Source organism: Homo sapiens, chromosome 2, assembly GCF_000001405.40.
Source record: "Homo sapiens chromosome 2, GRCh38.p14 Primary Assembly".
Classification (NCBI taxonomy): Eukaryota; Metazoa; Chordata; class Mammalia; order Primates; family Hominidae; genus Homo; species Homo sapiens.
This window is the reverse complement of record NC_000002.12, coordinates 36968875-36986817: the sequence shown is the minus strand read 5'-3', so window position 1 is coordinate 36986817 and position 17943 is coordinate 36968875. Positions and strand designations below refer to the sequence as shown.

Below are 17943 nucleotides of genomic sequence, written 5' to 3'. Positions count from 1 at the left end.
TGATGAAACCCTGTCTCTACTAAAAGTACAAAAATTAGCCAGGCCTCGTGGTATGCGCCTGTAATCCCAGCTACTCGGGAGACTGGACGGGAGAATTGCTTGAACCCGGGAGGCGGAGGTTGCAGTGAGCTGAGATCACCCCACTGGGCTCCAGCCTGGGTGACAGAGCGAGACTCCATCTCAAAAAAAAGAAAAAAAGACTTTTAATCTATATTGTCACATTGCTCTCCACCTACAAACTGTACCTGTTTTTTCTTTTCTGTTAAAAATTTTTTCCTCTTCTCTTAAAAACATTTCACAGAAAATTGGAAAAGTAGTGGAGATTTTTGAAAAGCGATTTCAATAGCTCCTCTATAAAATAATAATCCAGAACTATGCCAGTAGAAGAAAAGAATGCAGAGGAGAAAGTGGAAGAAAGGTTTATCTGATTTGATGATTAACTGGTTATAGAAGGCAAAAGAAAAGAAGCAAGTATTACTATGTTGCATGAAAACAACATCAAAATTGGGAAAGTCAGAAAAGGCAGTGTTTGGAGAAGTTGATAAATTTAGTTGAAATTAGTAACAATATAGGTTATTTAGGCAAAAATTTTATGACTGACATGGCCTATGTTTGGCAAATCAAAATAACTTTATTTGTATTTTTATTTTACTAATTGTAAATTCCATAAAGATGAGGACTGAATCTTACTCACTTTGTAATCCCAGCACTAAGTTTTATTGCGTTCTAGTATTTAAAATATTTTTGAGTTGACTCTTGGGATCAATTCCTTTACAGGCACCCTAATTTGGAGTTAAATTTAGCATGAGGACAGATAGGGAAGGGAACTTTTTTTTTAATTCTGTATTGTTTGATTTTTTTGACAGTAAGAATATATATATCATTTGTATAATTAAATATAGTTTAATAGCTAGTTAGGCTTTAGCAATATCTTTGAAATAAATGACCCTTTTTCAGTTTAAGATATAAAACAACCAAAGCATTGTAATTTCAACTATCAACCAGACCAATTTGTAGCATTATTAATGAGGTGTAGCAATGATCAGCACCATTGGTCAGGTGTGGTGGCTCACGCCTGTAATGCCAACACTTTGGGAGACCAAAGCGGATGGATCACGAGTTCAGGAGTTCAGGACCAGCCTGGCCAATATGGTGAAACCCCGTCTCTACTGAAAAAAAAAAAAAAAAAAAAAAAAGCCAGGAGTGGTGGCACATGCCTGTAGTCCCAGCTACTCATGAGGCTGAGGCAGGAGAATCGCTTGAACCCAGGAGGCAGAGGTTGCAGTGAGCCGAGATCACACCACTGCACTCCAGCCTGGGCAACAGAGTGAGACTCTGTCTCAAAAAAAAAAAAAAAAACCAAAAAAAAGCACCATCGTGATTTCTTCATTTTTTTAATGGACTGCTTCACTACTCAGATAACAGATGTTTTGTACTCTAACAAGACTTTTAAGAGGTAGAATAAGCAGTTTGCCTGTTTTTAAAATTAAAACTGAATCTAAGACTAAATGCCATAAAAAACCAAAGGCACACAAGTCTCATTGGTGAAATAAGATGACACTCATTAGGAGGATACCATCAAATAAATGAATGAATGTAAATCATATTAATTTGATGGCAACATTTTTATACTTCACTTCATATTTTACATAGTTACATGATTCCAAGAGGGTAAATTTTCAGCTTTTGAATTTAAGTCGTTCAACTTTTTTCATCCCATTTACAGATGTTAATTTTGTTGTCAACTTTACAGTATCCGGTATAAGAATGGGCAGTATATGTTTTTTCACCCTGCATGACCAAGGTTATAAGCTAAAAATATTAGAATTATATTTGACTCCTTGTTCATCATCTTTATTGAATCTGTTATTCAAATCTTGTCCCATTTCTTTCTGAAATTTCTCTAGGTTTCAAGAGAAACTTGCACCTTATTCTTATATCTAATCACCTCCTAAATAGATAACTATAATAGTTTTCCTAGCTGATATTCCCCATCAAATTTACCTAAAGTAATTTTATCTCTCCTTTGCTTAAGAATTTGGAAAAGTTTACTCTTTCCTTACAGCATCAAGTCTGAACGTCTTTGCTTGCTTTTCAAAATATTTTTTCTGCTCCCCAACGTGTACCTACTAACCTGACCAGACCAGTTTCCTTTCTGTGCTCCTTTTAATCGCTTACATTGTTCATATTATTTTCACTTTCTTCAGTTGTTTTTTCTCTTATTTTTTTCTTATACAAATCTATTAAACCTACATTAGATCTTTTCTTTGAGAAATATTGCCTAATTGCGTAGCTCACTCCGATTTTACCCTTCATAGAATTTATTTGGTATTTGTAACCAACCAAATAAAATCCCAAAGTATTCCTCAGTTTTGTGATTCTCTTGGTGAATTCTATACGGAAATGCTACCCACGTTTTTTAGCACTTAGTACTCTAATTGTTCTATGTGCTGTCTACTGTTTTCATTTAGATAATAAAAGAATCCAGGTAGAAACAAATTATGTAACATTTCCTATAATGCTTAGCATATTTCTAGATATTTGATGAATACTTAAATAACTTATATTTTTTCCAGTTTTATATATATATATATATATATATTTTTTTTTTTTTTTTGAGACAGAGTTTCACTCTTGTTGCCCAGGCTGGAGTGCAGTGGCCTGATCTTGGCTCACTGCAACCTCCGCCTCCCGAGTTCAAGTGATTCTCCTGCCTCAGCCTCAGGAGTAGCTGGGATTACAGGCGCCTGCCACCACGTCCAGCTAATTTGTTATATTTTTAGTAGAGATAGGGTTTCACCATGTTGGCCAGGCTGGTCTCGAACTCCTGGCCTCAGGTGATCCACCCGCCTCAGCCTCCCAAAGTGCTGAGATTACAGGCATGAGCCACTGCGTCCGGCCTCCAGTTATATTTTAAAATTGTTAAAACCAAAACCTTAATTTTCAACCTACTGTTGAAAACCTACTATTGAAACCTCTTCCAATTTAGCAAGCCAATATACTGAAGATAATTTTATATATATTTTATAATTCTCTACTTTATTTTTATTATGAAAGCCAGCTTTTATAATACTATTAACTTTTTTTTTTGAAAGGGAGTCTCGCTTTGTCGCCCATGCTGGAGTGCAATGGCACGATCTCTGCTCGCTGAGACCTCTGCCTCCCAGGTTCAAGCGATTCTCCTGCCTCAGCCTCCAGAGTAGCTGGGATTACAGGCATGTGCCACCACACCCAGCTAATATTTTTGGGTTTTTTTGTTTTGTTTTGTTTTGTTTTTTGAGACAGAGTTTCGCTCTTGTTGCCCAGGCTGGAGTGCAATGGCACGATCTCGGCTCACCACAACCTCCGCCTTCCAGATTCAAGCGATTCTCCTGCCTCAGTCTCCCTAGTAGCTGGGATTACAGGCATGCGCCACCATGCCCGGCTAATTTTTTTTTTTTTTTTGTATTTTTAGTAGAGATAGGGTTTCTCCATGTTGGTTAGGCTGGTCTCAAACTCCTGACCAGGGGATCCGCCCACCTTGGCCTCCCAAAGTGCTAGGATTACAGGCATGAGCCCACCGCGCCTACCCCTATAATACTATTAACATTGTACATGAGGGAAATTGAACTAAATCTAGAAGATTGGAGGATTTACCTGGGACTTTAAAAATAAGCTTTTTACCTCTTTTCTGAAAACTTAATATGGAAACAAATCCATTTAATTGGAAACTTCTGGGTAGTTGCCAAGAGAAAGAGTATGTATGTTTATTCATTCAAAGCATAGTTACTGGATGGCTGTGTACCAGGTAGTGTTCTAGGCATTGAGAATTTCTCGTGAAATAAAACAGGCAAAGGTCCCTGATCTCATGGAGCTTACATTTCTGGTAGGAAAACACAGACAATAAACACTTCTCGTCCCCTATACGTGTGTGTGTGTGTGTGTGTGTGTGTGTGTGTGTGTGTGTGTGTGTGTATCTGTGTCTGTTATATGTAGACATGTATCTTTGTGCAATTTTATATAGTGATGATGGATATATCAATTTTAGATGTAGATATAACATCTATAGTTAGATGCAGGAATTGATAGGAGCTGTGAAGAAAAAAATACAGCAGGGAAAGAAAATAGGGAGTAAGGTCCAGGGTGGAACTGGGATTCTGGAAAGGCTTCACTGATTATTATCACTGTCCTTGCTGACATCAGTGAGTGTCACACATTCTCTACCAGATGCTTCCTCCTGCCTTACAATTGCGTCAGTTGTCATTCTACAAAAATTAACAGTAATTAAGGGGGAGAACGCGTAATTCTCAATGTGATTATGAGATGTTATACACACACACAATTACATATAAAGGTTAATTGTTAAAAAAAATCACCTTTAATGAAACTTATATCCCAGGATGGAGTTGTTAATATAAGTAAAGACAAAAGACTAACAAAAGGAGATGAAGCCTCCAAATAAATACTTTTTTAAGGACTTGGAATTTATATCAGTCGGACATAGGTTCTTGTTTTTTTAACCCTAAGCTTATGTATTCCCTTAGTTTTGAGGAATTTCCCCTCACTGTGAGTTTTGGGGGATGATGAAATAGGAAAAAAGTTGTATTGTATTTCTACTTAAAGAGGAAAGAAACAACTAGTGTTAGTTAAATAATGGTAAATAGATGCTTTTCAGGTTTCTGTTCCTCACTCCAATCTCCTGATTCTAGAATGCCCGTAAAAATTTTATAATCTTACTCTCAAGATACATTCTACCAGGTGGCAATTGTAAAGTGTTTTATTACTTTTTAACCTTTGGCCCTTTTTTTTTTTTAAGTAAAGCAAATTAATATAAATGTAAAATATACAATATTAACAAACCTGGTTTCCAGCTTGTACATTTAGTAAATATTTAATATTAATTACGAGTTATTGAGGTCTAAAGTAGGCTGTGCATGTGTACTTATATTTTATTATGTTCAGTCTTCCATGGCAATTGCCTAGTTTTTAAAGTTTATTATAATCCTTATGTTTGTGATCTTTTTTCATACTTTATTATTTACAGGAGTCCAGCTACTTGCTCTTTTAGTTCCCACTTTGATATCTTACCTGCTGGATGAAAATTCTTTTGCCTCAGCAAGTTCAGCTTCCAAAGATCTTCATGAGTTTGCACTCCAGAATTTAATGCATATTGGACCTCTGTATCCACATGCTTTCAAGACAGTAATGGGGGCTGCTCCTGAGTTGAAAGTGCGTCTAGAAACTGCCGTTCGAGCAAGCCAAGCGAGCAAAGCTAAAGCGGCTGCCAGACAACCAGCCCCCGCCATACATTCTGCACCAACAATTAAGCTAAAAACAAGTTTTTTTTAATTTGTAATTTCATTTATTTGTATTTATGTTGTCAACTAGCCCCTAATTAGTGATGGCCACTGTATCATTCCAGGCTACCTATGGGTTCTGTTTTATTTGTATATTGGTATTATAGTGCTTCCAAGTAGGTTAAGTGAAATAATGCTCACACCACTTATTGATTTTTAAGGAGTGATTTTTTTTATCATGTGGTGAATATGTTTTCATTTTCCTCCTAATAATGTTTCTCTTTTGTTAACTTATTTATTTTTCAAACACTGAGCCATAGTCTTAAATTTAAATGCTAAAAACAATTGTATCATGTAGTCGGGCAGCCTATTGATACTGTCAGGGGAAAAAAATGGGTCAGAACTCAGCATCTGTCATGAAAAAAATCAATTGAAAAACAAGCAGATTTTAAATTTTGAAGTAATCAAAATAATGGAAAGTGTCTGTTTTGTGGTGTATATACTATGAATAAAATCACAGCATTTTCTAAGCATTTCCCAAAATGTCCTTATCTTTCTGATGGATCTTTTAGCTTTCATATCAAATTACTAAATTATGCTATGTATATTTTAGTTGGTAACAATTAAAATTCTCATTTAAAGGTTCACTAAAATGTTTAAATGTAATATAATATTCTGCTTTTTTTAATGGCTAAAATTTGGCTTCAGTTATGTTTTGTAATTACAGAACCTCAAGTTCTGGCTATGATGGTTAGTTTCCTTCATCAAATATTTATTGAATGCCTACTGTGTATAAGGCATCAAGCTAAGTGCTGCAGGGGATACAAAAATGAATTAGGCATAATTACAGTGATGCCATTCTTTCATGTAGTGGGCATTTTACCGTACGAAATAGATAATTCACACAATGAATGTTTGCCACAGCATTTAGCAAATTTTAAACACCAAGTTTTACCGCACAGTGTAACAGACTGAACAAGTATTATCAAAAGCAAGTCACTTTCTGAACATTTATCTTCTTTTCTCTTTTCCTTTCTTTTCCTTTTTCTTTTAGAGACAGAGTCTTGCACTGTTGCCCAGACTGGAGTGCAATCATAGCTCACTACACTTGAACTCCACTCAGCCTTTTAGATACCTGAGATAGGTACTTTGTCTTGCCTGTTTTCTCACTGACTTTTGGGTGTTTTTTTCTTTTCTTTTTTCTTTTCTTTTTTTTTTAGATGGAGTCTCTCTCTGTCGCGCCCAGGCTAGAGTGCAGTCGCGCGGTCTTGGCTCACTGCAACCTCCGCCTCCTGGGTTCAAGCAATTCTCCTGCCTCAGCCTCCTGAATAGCTGACATTACAGGCACCCGCCACCACACCCAGCTAATTTGTATTTTTAGTAGAGACGGGGCTTCATGTTGGTCAGGCTGGTCTCGAACTCCTGACCTCAGGTGATCTGCCTGCCTCTGTCTCCCAAAGTGCTGGGATTACAGGCGTGAGCCACCATGCCCAGCTTCTTTTCATTTTTGTTTTGTTTTGTTTTGTTTTGAAGCAGGGTCTCACTTTTGCCCAGGCTGGAGTGCAGTGGCACATGACCACGGCTCACTGCAGCCTCAATCACCCAGGCTTGAATGATCCTCCCACCTCAGCCTGCCAAAGTGCTGGGATTACAGGCGTGAGCCACCACACTTGGCGCTGGTTGTTTTTTCATTTCAGGTTTGCATTGCCACAATTATTCTCCTTGGTTTTTGTTTTTGTTTTCGCTAACAACTTCATGGAGATCCAGTTCACATACCATACAACTCAATTCAGTTTGGGCATGGTGGCTCACACCTGTAATCCCAACACTTTGGGAGGCTGAGGCCAGGAGTTTGAGGCAGCCTGGGCAACACAGCAAGTCCTCATCTCTACGTTAAACAAAAAGAAAATTAGCCAGACGCAGTGGTGCACTCCTGTAGTCCCAGCTACTCAGGAGGCTGAGACAGGAGAATTGCTTGAGCCCAGGAGTTTGAGGCTGCAATAAATTGTGATCATGCCACTGTATCCCAGCAAAGTGTACAGTTCAATGGTTTTTAGTGGTGCCACCATCACCACAATCAATTATGAACATTACCCCAAAAAGAAACCTTGTATCCTTTAGCTATCCTCCTACCATCTCCCCATTTCCCCCCAACTTAGGCTACCACTAATCTACTTTCTGTCTCTGGATTTTCCTCTCATGGACATTTCATATAAATTGAACCACTTAATATGTGGTTTTTTGTGACTGGCTTCTTACTGTAATGTTTTCTGTTTGCTTGTTTTTTGAGATGGGATCTTGCTCTGTTGCCCAGGCTGGAGTGCAGTGGCGCAATCTCAGCTCACTGCAGCCTCTACCTCCTGGGCTCAAGCAATCCTCCCACCTCAGGCTCCTGAGTAGCTGGGATTACAGGCGCACACCACCATGCCCTGCTAATTTTTCATATTTTTGTTAGAGGCAGGGTTTCACCACGTTGCCCAGGCTGGTCTTAAACTCCTGAGCTCAAGTGATCCATCTGCCTCAGCCTTCCAAAGTTCTGGTATTACAGGCATGAGCCACCAACCCACTGTAATGTTTGTTTCTTTGTTTGTTTTTGAGATGGAGCCTCACTCTGTCACCCAGGCTGGAGTGCAGTGGCACAGTCTTGGCTCACTGCAACCTCTGCCTCCTGGGTTCCAGCGATTCTCCTACCTCAGCCTCCCCAGTAGCTGGGATTACAGGCACACGCCGCCACGCCTGGCTAATTTTTTGTTTCACCGTGTTGGCCAGGCTGGTCTTGAACTCCTGAGCTCAGGCAATCCGCCTTCCTCAGCCTCCCAAAGTGCTGGGATTACAGGCGTGAGCCACCACATCCGGCCCACTGTAATGTTTTTTAAGGTTCATCCATGTTGTAGCATGAATCTGCACTTCATTCCTTTTTATGGCTGCATAGTATTCCATTGTATATATACCACATTTTGTGAATCTACTCATCAGTTGCAGGACATTTGGATTTTTCCATCTTTTTCTTGCCTGTTAGGAATAATGATGCTATGAGCAATTATGTACAAGTTTTGGGGTGGACATATGTTTTAATATTACTTGAGTATATACCTAGGAGTGAAATTGCTTGTTCAAATAAGTCTACCTTTTTCCTTTTTTTTTTCTTAAATATGGCCTTTCTGACTCATGTTTAACTTTCTAAGGAACCACCAGACTGTTTCTAATCTCCTTATTTTTTTGCACACATGCATGTACACACGTAACCCCTTTTCCCTCATCTATTTATAAAGTATGTTTATTTCTGCCTTGGCTATTTTTTGCTGTTCTTGGCTTCTCCCATCATTTCCCACTTTAGGGTAGACTGCATCATGCATTAGCAATGATCCTCTCCCTCCCTGTCTCCCTTCCTCTCTCTCTCAGTACATCTTTATGCTTTCTGTAGACCCTTCTGTTTTTGGTTTTTTTTTTTTTTTTTTTTTTTTTTTTTTTTTTTTTTGAGGCGGAGTTTCACTCTTGTTGCCCAGGCTGGAGTGCAATGGCATGATCTCGGCTCACCTCAACCTCCGCCTTCCAGGTTCAAGTGATTCTCCTGCCTCAGCATCCCGAGTAACTGGGATTACAGGCATGTGCCACTGCGACTGGCTAATTTTGTATTTTTAGTAGAGACAGGGTTTCTCCATGTTGGTCAGGCTGGTCTTGAACTCCTGAACTCAGGTGATCCACCTGCCTCGGCCTCCCAAAGTGCTGGGATTACAGGCGTGAGCCACCGTGCTTGGCCTTCTCTAGACCCTTCTAAGTCACTGACAACTTCTAGTTTTCTGTGATCATATCTGTAAAGGGAAGATCTGTTTGAAGATTATTAATTTGTTCTGCTGCCCAACCCATGAGATTTTTCTCAACCTAAATAATCTTATTTATTTGATTATGAACATCCAGTATCATGAAGCTAAAAGGAGAAGCAACATGATAGCCAGTAATTCTTTCTGAAGCATACTCTGAGCAGTTTTCATAGTTCAAGACAAAGTATCTTCTGTTTGCTTTCTAAGTTCTTACTAATCAATATTATACATTTGAATTATTATTTTTTGAGACAGGGTCTTGCTCTGTCACAAGGGCTAGATTGCAGTGTTGTCATCGTAGTTCACTAGAGCCACAAACTCCTGGGCTGCAGCGATCCTCCCTCCTCAGCTTCCTAAAGTGGTGGGATTACAGGCATGAGCCACTGCACCCAGCCTGAATTCTTTTTTTTTTTTTGAGACGGAGTCTCACTGTCGCCCAGGCTGGAGTGCAGTGGCTTGATCTCAGCTCACTGCAACCTCCGTCTCTTGGGTTCAAGCGATTCTCCTGCTTCAGCCTCCCAAGTAGCTGGGATTACAGGCGCCCGCCACAATGCCTGGCTAATTTTTGTATTTTTAGTAGAGATGGAGTTTCGCCATGTTGGCCAGGCTGACCTTGAACTCCCGACCTCAGGTGATCTGCCCACCTCGGCCTCCCAAAGTGCTGAGATGACAGGTATGAGCCACCGCGCGCCCAGGCCTGAGTTCTTTTTTTGTTTTGTTTTTGAGACAGAGTCTCGCTCTTCTGTCACCCAGGCTGGAGTGCAGTGGCGCAGATCTCGGCTGACTGCAAGCTCCGCCTCCCAGGTTCACACCATTCTCCTGCCTCAGCCCCCCGAGTAGCTGGGACTACAGTCTCCCGCCACCATGCCCAGCTAATTTTTTGTATTTTTAGTAGAGACAGGGTTTCACCGTGTTAGCCAGGACGGTCTCGATCTCCTGACCTCATGATCCGTCCACCTCAGCCTCCCAAAGTGCTGGGATTACAGGCGTGAGCCACAGTGCCCGGACCAGGCCTGATTTCTTAATTAGAGAAAACTCATCCCTGATAAGGCAAGTATCCCTGTTCTAAGTAGGTTCTGTCATCAACTAGGAATAGAAGTTTAGACAACCTGACCCTTTGGGGCTTCAGTTTTCTCATCTATAGAATGAGAAAATTTAGTAAATATCCTCTCTCTGATCTTTTACACATTAAAAAAAAAAAGTACATATAGCTGAATATTTGTCCTGCTTATTTTTATCAAGAGAATTTTTGGCCAGTCCTTTAATATTGGTACATAACATTATTTAGTCTGACAAGCAGTCTTTACATGTGTGTAGAACTACTATCACAGTGTAACAGTGTAAAATACAGTAAACAAGGCTGGGCTTGGTGGCTGATGCCTGTAATCCCAGCTCTTTGGAAGGCTGAGATTGGAGGATTGCTTGAGGCCAGGACTTCGAGCCCATCCTGTGTAACATAGCAAGAGCTTGGGAGACTGACAGAGGAGACACACTTGAGCCCAGGAGTTCAAGTTTACAGTGAGCTATCATCACGCTGCTGCACTACAGTCTGGGTGACAGAAAGGGACCCTGACTCAAAACAACAACAACAGCAACAACAAAAAAACAACCCACTAAACATAATCCAGATATAGAAGTTAAAATACTACAGGTTGGTATTGTCAGTAAGAATGACCATTTCTGTTGTGTTCCAAGCACTGTGTTAGACACTTCATACCCATTATTTATTTTCATTTAAACAATGCTGAATGATGGATATAATTATCCCAATATTGAAGACATTTATTTATATGAATTATTATCCCTACATTTTTTTTCCTCTAGTTTATTTTCGATATTAGAATTCTTAAATCTCAGTTGGAATTTTTAGGTTGATGTCAGACATGGCTAGAGTAGAACTATAAATAAATTTCTTGCCTCAGTGCTTTCCATTAGATGGATTATTTTTAAAACCTGATTTAATAATTACAAACTCATTTCTAGTTCTCTCATATCTAAAACCTTATGAAAGTATTATTTATGGGCTTCACAGAATTTTATTAAGAATTTCATATCTTAATCATTTTTTAATTTATTATTTATTTATTATTTTTTGAAACAGGGTCTCCCTCCATCGCCCAGCCTAGAGTGCAGTGGCATGGTCACAGCTCACTGAACCTCAGCTTCCTGGGCTCACGTGATCCTCACACCTCGGCTTCCCAAAGTGTTGGGATTACAGGCATGAGCCACAGCGCCCAGCCTGCCTCAGCCTCACAAGTAGCTGGGGCTACAGGCACATGCAACCATGCCTAGCTAAATTTTTTTTTTTTTTTTTTTAAGAGACAGGGTTTCACGTGTTGCCCAGGCGGGTCTTGAACTCCTGAACTCAAACAGTCCGTTTGCTTCGGATTCCAAAGTGCTGGGATTATAGGCATCAGACTCGGACCCTGGTCCCTTAATCATAATTTAGAAAAATTATACTGAGCTAAGTTTTGTTTCGTTTTGTTTTGTTTTTTTGAGACAGTCTTGCCCTGTCGCTCAGGCTGGAGTGCAGTGGCGCAATCTCAGCTCACCGCAACCTCCACCTCCCGAGTAGCTGGGACTACAGGTGAGTGCCTCCACGCCCAGCTAATTTTTGTATTTTTAGTAGAGACTGGGTTTTGCCAGGTTGGCTGGGCTGGTCTCGAACTCCTGGTCTCAAGTAATCCGTCCACCTCAGCCTCCCAAGTGCTGCGATTACAGATGTGAGCTACCACCAGTAGGAATCATTTTTTGATGGTTACTTAATAATGGATGTACCATTATTGACTTAGTCATTATGCTAATCTTAGGTAATTTACTTCCAGTTTATGTATGTATATATAAACTGGAAACTATATTTCCATATTTCCAGTATATATATATATATGTGTATATATATGTATATGTATATATGTATGTATATGTAAATATATGTATATATGTATATATATGTATATGTATATATATGTATGTATATGTAAATATATGTATATATGTATATATATGTATATTTATATAGACACACACACACATATATATGTATATACAAAGCGTGTGTGTGTGTGTATATATATATATATATATATATATATATATATATATATATATATATATATATAAAGTGTGGGCCAGGCGCGGTGGCTCACTCCTGTAATCCCAGCACTTTGGGAGGCCGAGGCGGGCGGATCACGAAGTCAGGAGATTGAGACCATCCTGGCTAACACGGTGAAACTCCGTCTCTGCTAAAAGTACAAAAAAAAAAAAAATTAACCGGGCGTGGTGGTGGGCGCCTGTAGTCCCAGCTACTCAGGAGGCTGAGGCAGGAGAATGGCATGAACCTGGGAGGCGGAGCTTGCAGTAAGCCGAGATCGCGCCACTGCACTCCAGCCTGGGCGACAGAGCGAGACTCCATCTCAAATAATAATAATTATGTTGCATTTGTGTTTAAAAAAATAGAACTTTGTGGCCAGGCACAGTGGCTCACGCCTGTAATCCCGTCATTTTGGGAGGTCAAGACGGGCGGATCACCTGAGGTCGGGAGTTCGAGACCAGCCTGACCAACATGGAGAAACCCCGTCTCTACTAAAAATACAAAATTAGCCAGGTATGGTGGTGCATGCCTGTAGTCCCAGCTACTTGGGAGGCTGAGGCAGGAGGATCACTTGAACCCAAGAGACAGAGGTTGCAGTGAGCCAAGATTGTGCCACCGGACTCCAGCCTGGGTGACAGAGCAAGACTCCTCAAAAAAAAAAAAAAAACAACAACAGTAATCACTATCACTTTTATGTTGCTCTTTATGTGTTGGCCATATTGGAGTTCTTTCAACATATCAAATATACTGTGTACTTTTCTTCCTCAGGGTATTTCAATTTTGCCAAAAATGCTCCCCATCCCACCGTCATCTTCTAGCTTATTTATACTCTTTCTTTAACATTTTAATCCGGCTACATTCTTATAAAGAAAAGTTGCAGCATTAATTTGGTTATTGCCATATACTAAAAACCATGTTATTTAAGTTATCTTTTTCCCCTACAATGAATTTTTATATATTGGCTCCTTAAGCTTGAATACTATCAGTTTATCAGGAATAATGTTATGTATTAGAGTTCACGTGAAAGTGTATATAAGCTGGTTCCAACCACTCCCACTCTTGTTACTTCATGTCCTGCAGCTGAGGGGAAATCTGGGAGAGAAGATAACATAGATAATGATAGAATTTTCCATTACAGAGAACAACTGCAAGTACTATAATTAACACATATTGAACAACAGTAGAATATTGAGGGCCTGGAGAGTAGAGGGAGAGAGATATAGTACAAGCGAAATAGGTTAAATCCTGTTTTAGAAGATCTAAGGAAAACAATGTGTTCAAAATGAAACAAAATGTATTGGATTTCTTCAACTTCATTCATTTCTCTTGTTTTTCTTGCACAGTGCCCAGATTTCGTTCCACCTCCCCCTCGCCCATCATATTTGTAAAAAATATTGTACCAGATTTGAATTTTTTTGAGGATCAACTTAATTTATGTCTAAGCACTACCAGGTGGGAGCTTGGGAAGGCAGTACTGTTCTGAGCAATTCAAGCCTAAATGAAAATTGAGTGTCGTCTGCTGAGAAAGTGGCTATACCTGGAAATGAGTGCATCTCAGCTGCAGAGTTGACAGGAATAGCAAGCTCATAAAAAACGTTCTTTTTCTATACACCACACATACACACACAGTTATTTTTATGTAATGAAGTAGACGTTAATTGTTTGAAATTCAGTTTCTGGCTTAGAAATGAGGACACCTCAGTTACTAAAAGAAAACAATCTGTTGAATAGAGCCTACACTCATTGGAAATTTTAAAAGAGAAAAGGGGTAGGGAAGCAAGGCATGGGATTGATGGGGAGAAAGGAAAAGAATGTGTTCAAAAACCAGTTTACCTTTGCTTAGAGAAATAGAATCTGAAGTTGATCACCATTAATATTCCAAGAGAAGTCTTGCTACAGCTTCAGAGCTGTATTATCATTTCAATCTCCCCTGTATTAGATATTTAGATTTGTCAAAGTAATCCTGATTTTAGATTTGAAGTATCTATTTCTGTAAATATCAGTCACTACAAAATTAATTTTAAATTAAGTTTTATTTCATTGAATTTATTAAATTTAACGAAATAAAACATCAATTTAGAAATTAAAATTAGGCAACTCCCTAACTTCAATCATACTCTTCCAAAAGAAAATAGTAGTAACAATAATGACAACTGATATGAGCAATTTTCTCATCCTATCACAAGACTGGTATAGATTTAATTCTTGGACTCCAAGAAAAATTTTAGATGCTACAATTCCTTCATTCCTAACTTAATACTGGCTGTTTCCCCAACTCAGCCATTACCAGACTTCAAATTTAGGGAGTAAGTTTGGCTGGAATCTGAGAAAGGCAGAAACAGAGACTGGCCCCCTGAAGCAGGGTAGGCAGAAAGGAGAGGTGGGAGAGATTAGGGAGTGAGGAGGTGGTAGAAGAGGTGGATAAACAATGGGTTATTGCATATTTCTATTCCCTAAAGTTCTCTTAATCCTTGGGGAGGCCTTTTCTCCTGTCAATCAAGCAGTTCTTTTTTTTTTTTTTCCTGGCCATAATTCTAAAAGAGCCATCAAGTTCAACTTAAGGACCTTTCTTTGAGCAGTTAAAGAGTCAGAGCCCCAAATAACTGGTCATTTTGGACAGTTTTAGAAAAATAGGCTGGGCACAGTGGCTCACACCTGTAATCCCAGCACTTTGGGAGGCTGAGGTGGGCAGATCACTTGAGTTCAGAAGTTCAAGACCGGCTTGGCCAACATGGCAAAACCCCGTCTCTATGAAAAATACAAAAATTAGCCAGGCGTCGTGTTGCCCGCCCCTGTTGTCCCAGCTACTTGAGAGGCTGAGGCAGGAGAATCACTTAAATCCATTAAGCAGAGGTTGCAGTGAGCTGAGATGGTGCCAGGGCACTCCAGCCTGGGCCACAGAGCAAGACCCTGTCTCAAATACAAGCAAACAAACAGAAAACATTACAGTAAGAAGCCAGTCACAAAAAAACACATATTAAGTGATTGAATTTATGTAAAATATTTGTCCGTCTCAAAAAAAAAGAACCATTCATTTTAATGACAAATTTCATTTATTTATTTATTCATTCATTCATTCATTTATTGAGAAGGACTCTTGCCCTGTCACCAGGCTGGAGTGCAGTTGTGAGATCTCGGCTCACTGTAACCTTGCCTCCCAGGTTCAAGCGATTCTCCTGCCTCAGCCTCCGGAGTAGCTGGGATTACAGGCACGCACCACCACGCCAAGCTAATTTCTATATTTTTAGTAGGCAACAGGGTTTCACGATGTTGGCGACGCTGGTCTCAAACTCCTGACCTCAAGTGATCAGACTGCCTCTGCCCCACAAAGTGCTGGGATTACAGGCCTGAGCCACTGCACCTGGCGTGACACATTTTTCAAAAGAGCAGGTGAATTGTCATTTTATAGATCTATAATCCTCATCCCACAAAGCATACACATATAAACTGAAAAACAGTAAACACTCGGCAGGGCACGGTGGCTCACGCCTGTAATCCCGGCACTTTGGGAGGCCGAGGCGGGCAGATCACGAGGACAGGAGATCGAGACCATCCTAGCCAACGTGGTGAAACCCCGTCTCTACTAAAATACAAAAAATTAGCCGGGCGTGGTGGTGTGCACCTGTAGTCCCAGCTACTGGGTAGGCTGAGGCAGAGGAATCGCTTGAACCTGGGAGGTGGAGATCGCAGTGAACCGAGAATGCACCACAGCACTCCAGCCTGGGTGACAGACCGAGGCTCTGTCAAAAAAAAAAAAAAAGCCAGGCGCGCAGTGGCTCACGTCTGTAATCCCAGCACTTTGGGAGGCTGAGGTGGGCGGATCATGAGGTCAAGAGATTGAGACCATCCTGGTTAACATGGTGAAACTCCGTCTCTACTAAAAATACGAAAAATTAGCTGGGCGTGGTAGCGTGTGCCTGTAGTCTCAGCTACTCGGGAGGCAGAGGCAGAAGAATCGCTTGAACCCGGGAGGTGGAGGTTGCAGTGAGCCGAGATCGCGCCACCGCACTCCAGCCTGGCAACAGAGCGAGACTCCATCTCAAAAAAAAAAAAAAAAAAATCAAACACTCCTATTATCTAAAGAACCTTTCAACATTTCACAATTTTCACTGTAAACTCATTATAGTGATATATAAAATCAATATTTTGACAATTGCTCTGTGTACTGGGAAAGGAATCCTTATTTTCTGTCATTTTGGCTTTATTAATTATAAAATGATCACAACACGTTGAGATCTGAGGCTTAATGATTGGGCATAGACGTTAGTTTTTTTTTTTTGGGGGGGGTTGTTTTTGTTTTCATGGTTTGTTTTTGTTTTTGTTTTTGGAGACGGAGTTTCGCTGTTGTTGCCCAGGCTACAGTGCAGTGGCGTGATCTTGGCTCACTGCAACCTCCGCCCCCCGGTTTCAAGCGATTCACCTGCTTCAGCCTCTGGAGTAGCTGGGACCACAAGTGCACACCGCCATGCCTGGCTAATTTTTTTTGTATTTTTGGTAGAGATGGGGTTTTACCATGTTGGCCAGGCTGGTCTCAAACTTCTGACCTCAGGTGATCCACCCACCTCTGCCTCCCAAAGTGCTGGGATTATAGGTGTGAGCCACCGCCGTCCGGCCTGTTTTTTTTTTTTTTTTTGAGACGGAGTCTCCCTCTGCCGCTCAATCTGGAGGGCAGTGGCACGATCTTGGCTCACTGCAACCTCCTCCTCCCAGGTTCAAGTGATTCTCCTGCCTCAGCTTCTCGAGTAGCTGGGATTACAGGCACCTGCCACTGCACCCAGCTAATTTTTTTAATTTTTAGTAGAGACGGGGTTTCACCATGTTGGCCAGGCTGGTCTCAAATTCCTGACCTCGTGATTTGCCCACCTCGGCCTCCCGAAGTGCTGGGATTACAGGCGTGAGCCACCTCACCCGGCCCTGTTTTTGTTTTTTAAAGATTATTTTAACTCTACTAATTTAAAGTTTTGAATAGGGAATGAGAAAGGAGAGAACAATGATTGAGCCCCTAGAATTTACCAGGGACTGTTTCTTTTACATATATTGTTTCAGTTACTCTTGTGAACTGTATTGCAATAATAGCTATCACTATTCCGTAATATACCATATAGTAGGCACTATGAGAGGGGATTTACTTTTTTTCTTCCATTTAACTTCACAGCAACTTTATTAGGTGACTATTATTCCCATATTAAAAAATGAGAGAATTGAGCTGGGATTACAGGCGCAAGCTGCCACGCCCAGCTAATTTTTTTTTGTATTTTAGTAGAGATGGGGTTTCTCAGTGTTGCCCAGACTGGTCTTGAACTCCTGAGCTCAGGTAATCCACCCGCCTCGGTCTTCCAAAGTGCTAGGATTGCAGGCATGAGCCACCGTGCCAGGACCAATAAGTGATAATTATGGGATTCATAGTCCTATAGTTTTAAGGCAACTTAGGGCACCAGAACTCTAAGGGAAGGCCTTCTTTTTAAAACTTTTTTTTTTTTTTGAATCACAGTCTCACTGTATTGCCTAGGCTGGAGTGCAGTGTCATGATCTTGGCTCACTGCAACCTCCACCTCCCGGGTTCAAGCGATTATCGTACCTCAGCCTCCCAAGTAGCTGGGACTACAGGCATGTGCCACCACGCCTGGCTAATTTTTGTATTCTTAGTAGAGACGGGTTTTGCCATGTTGGCCAGGCTGTTCTCCAACTGTTACCGGTGGAGAGTGTCCAGGTTGTTGAAATCTTGAACAAAGAATTGGGGAAAGCGCACAAAGCA

At 40.5% G+C, this 17943-nt stretch overlaps 1 protein-coding gene across 9 annotated transcripts in view; it reads left to right on the top strand.

The window, feature by feature from the left end:
• Positions 1-5923, top strand: part of HEATR5B (HEAT repeat containing 5B) — a 103478-nt gene extending 97555 nt beyond the window's left edge. For all 9 annotated transcript variants that reach the window (XM_047444812.1, XM_047444810.1, XM_006712035.5 and 6 more), the window contains one exon: positions 5024-5923. In XM_047444812.1, the coding sequence (XP_047300768.1) occupies positions 5024-5328 (305 nt within the window). In that variant the 3' untranslated portion in view covers positions 5329-5923. The remainder of the gene's footprint in view (positions 1-5023) is intronic.
• The last annotated feature ends 12020 nt before the right edge of the window (positions 5924-17943 follow it).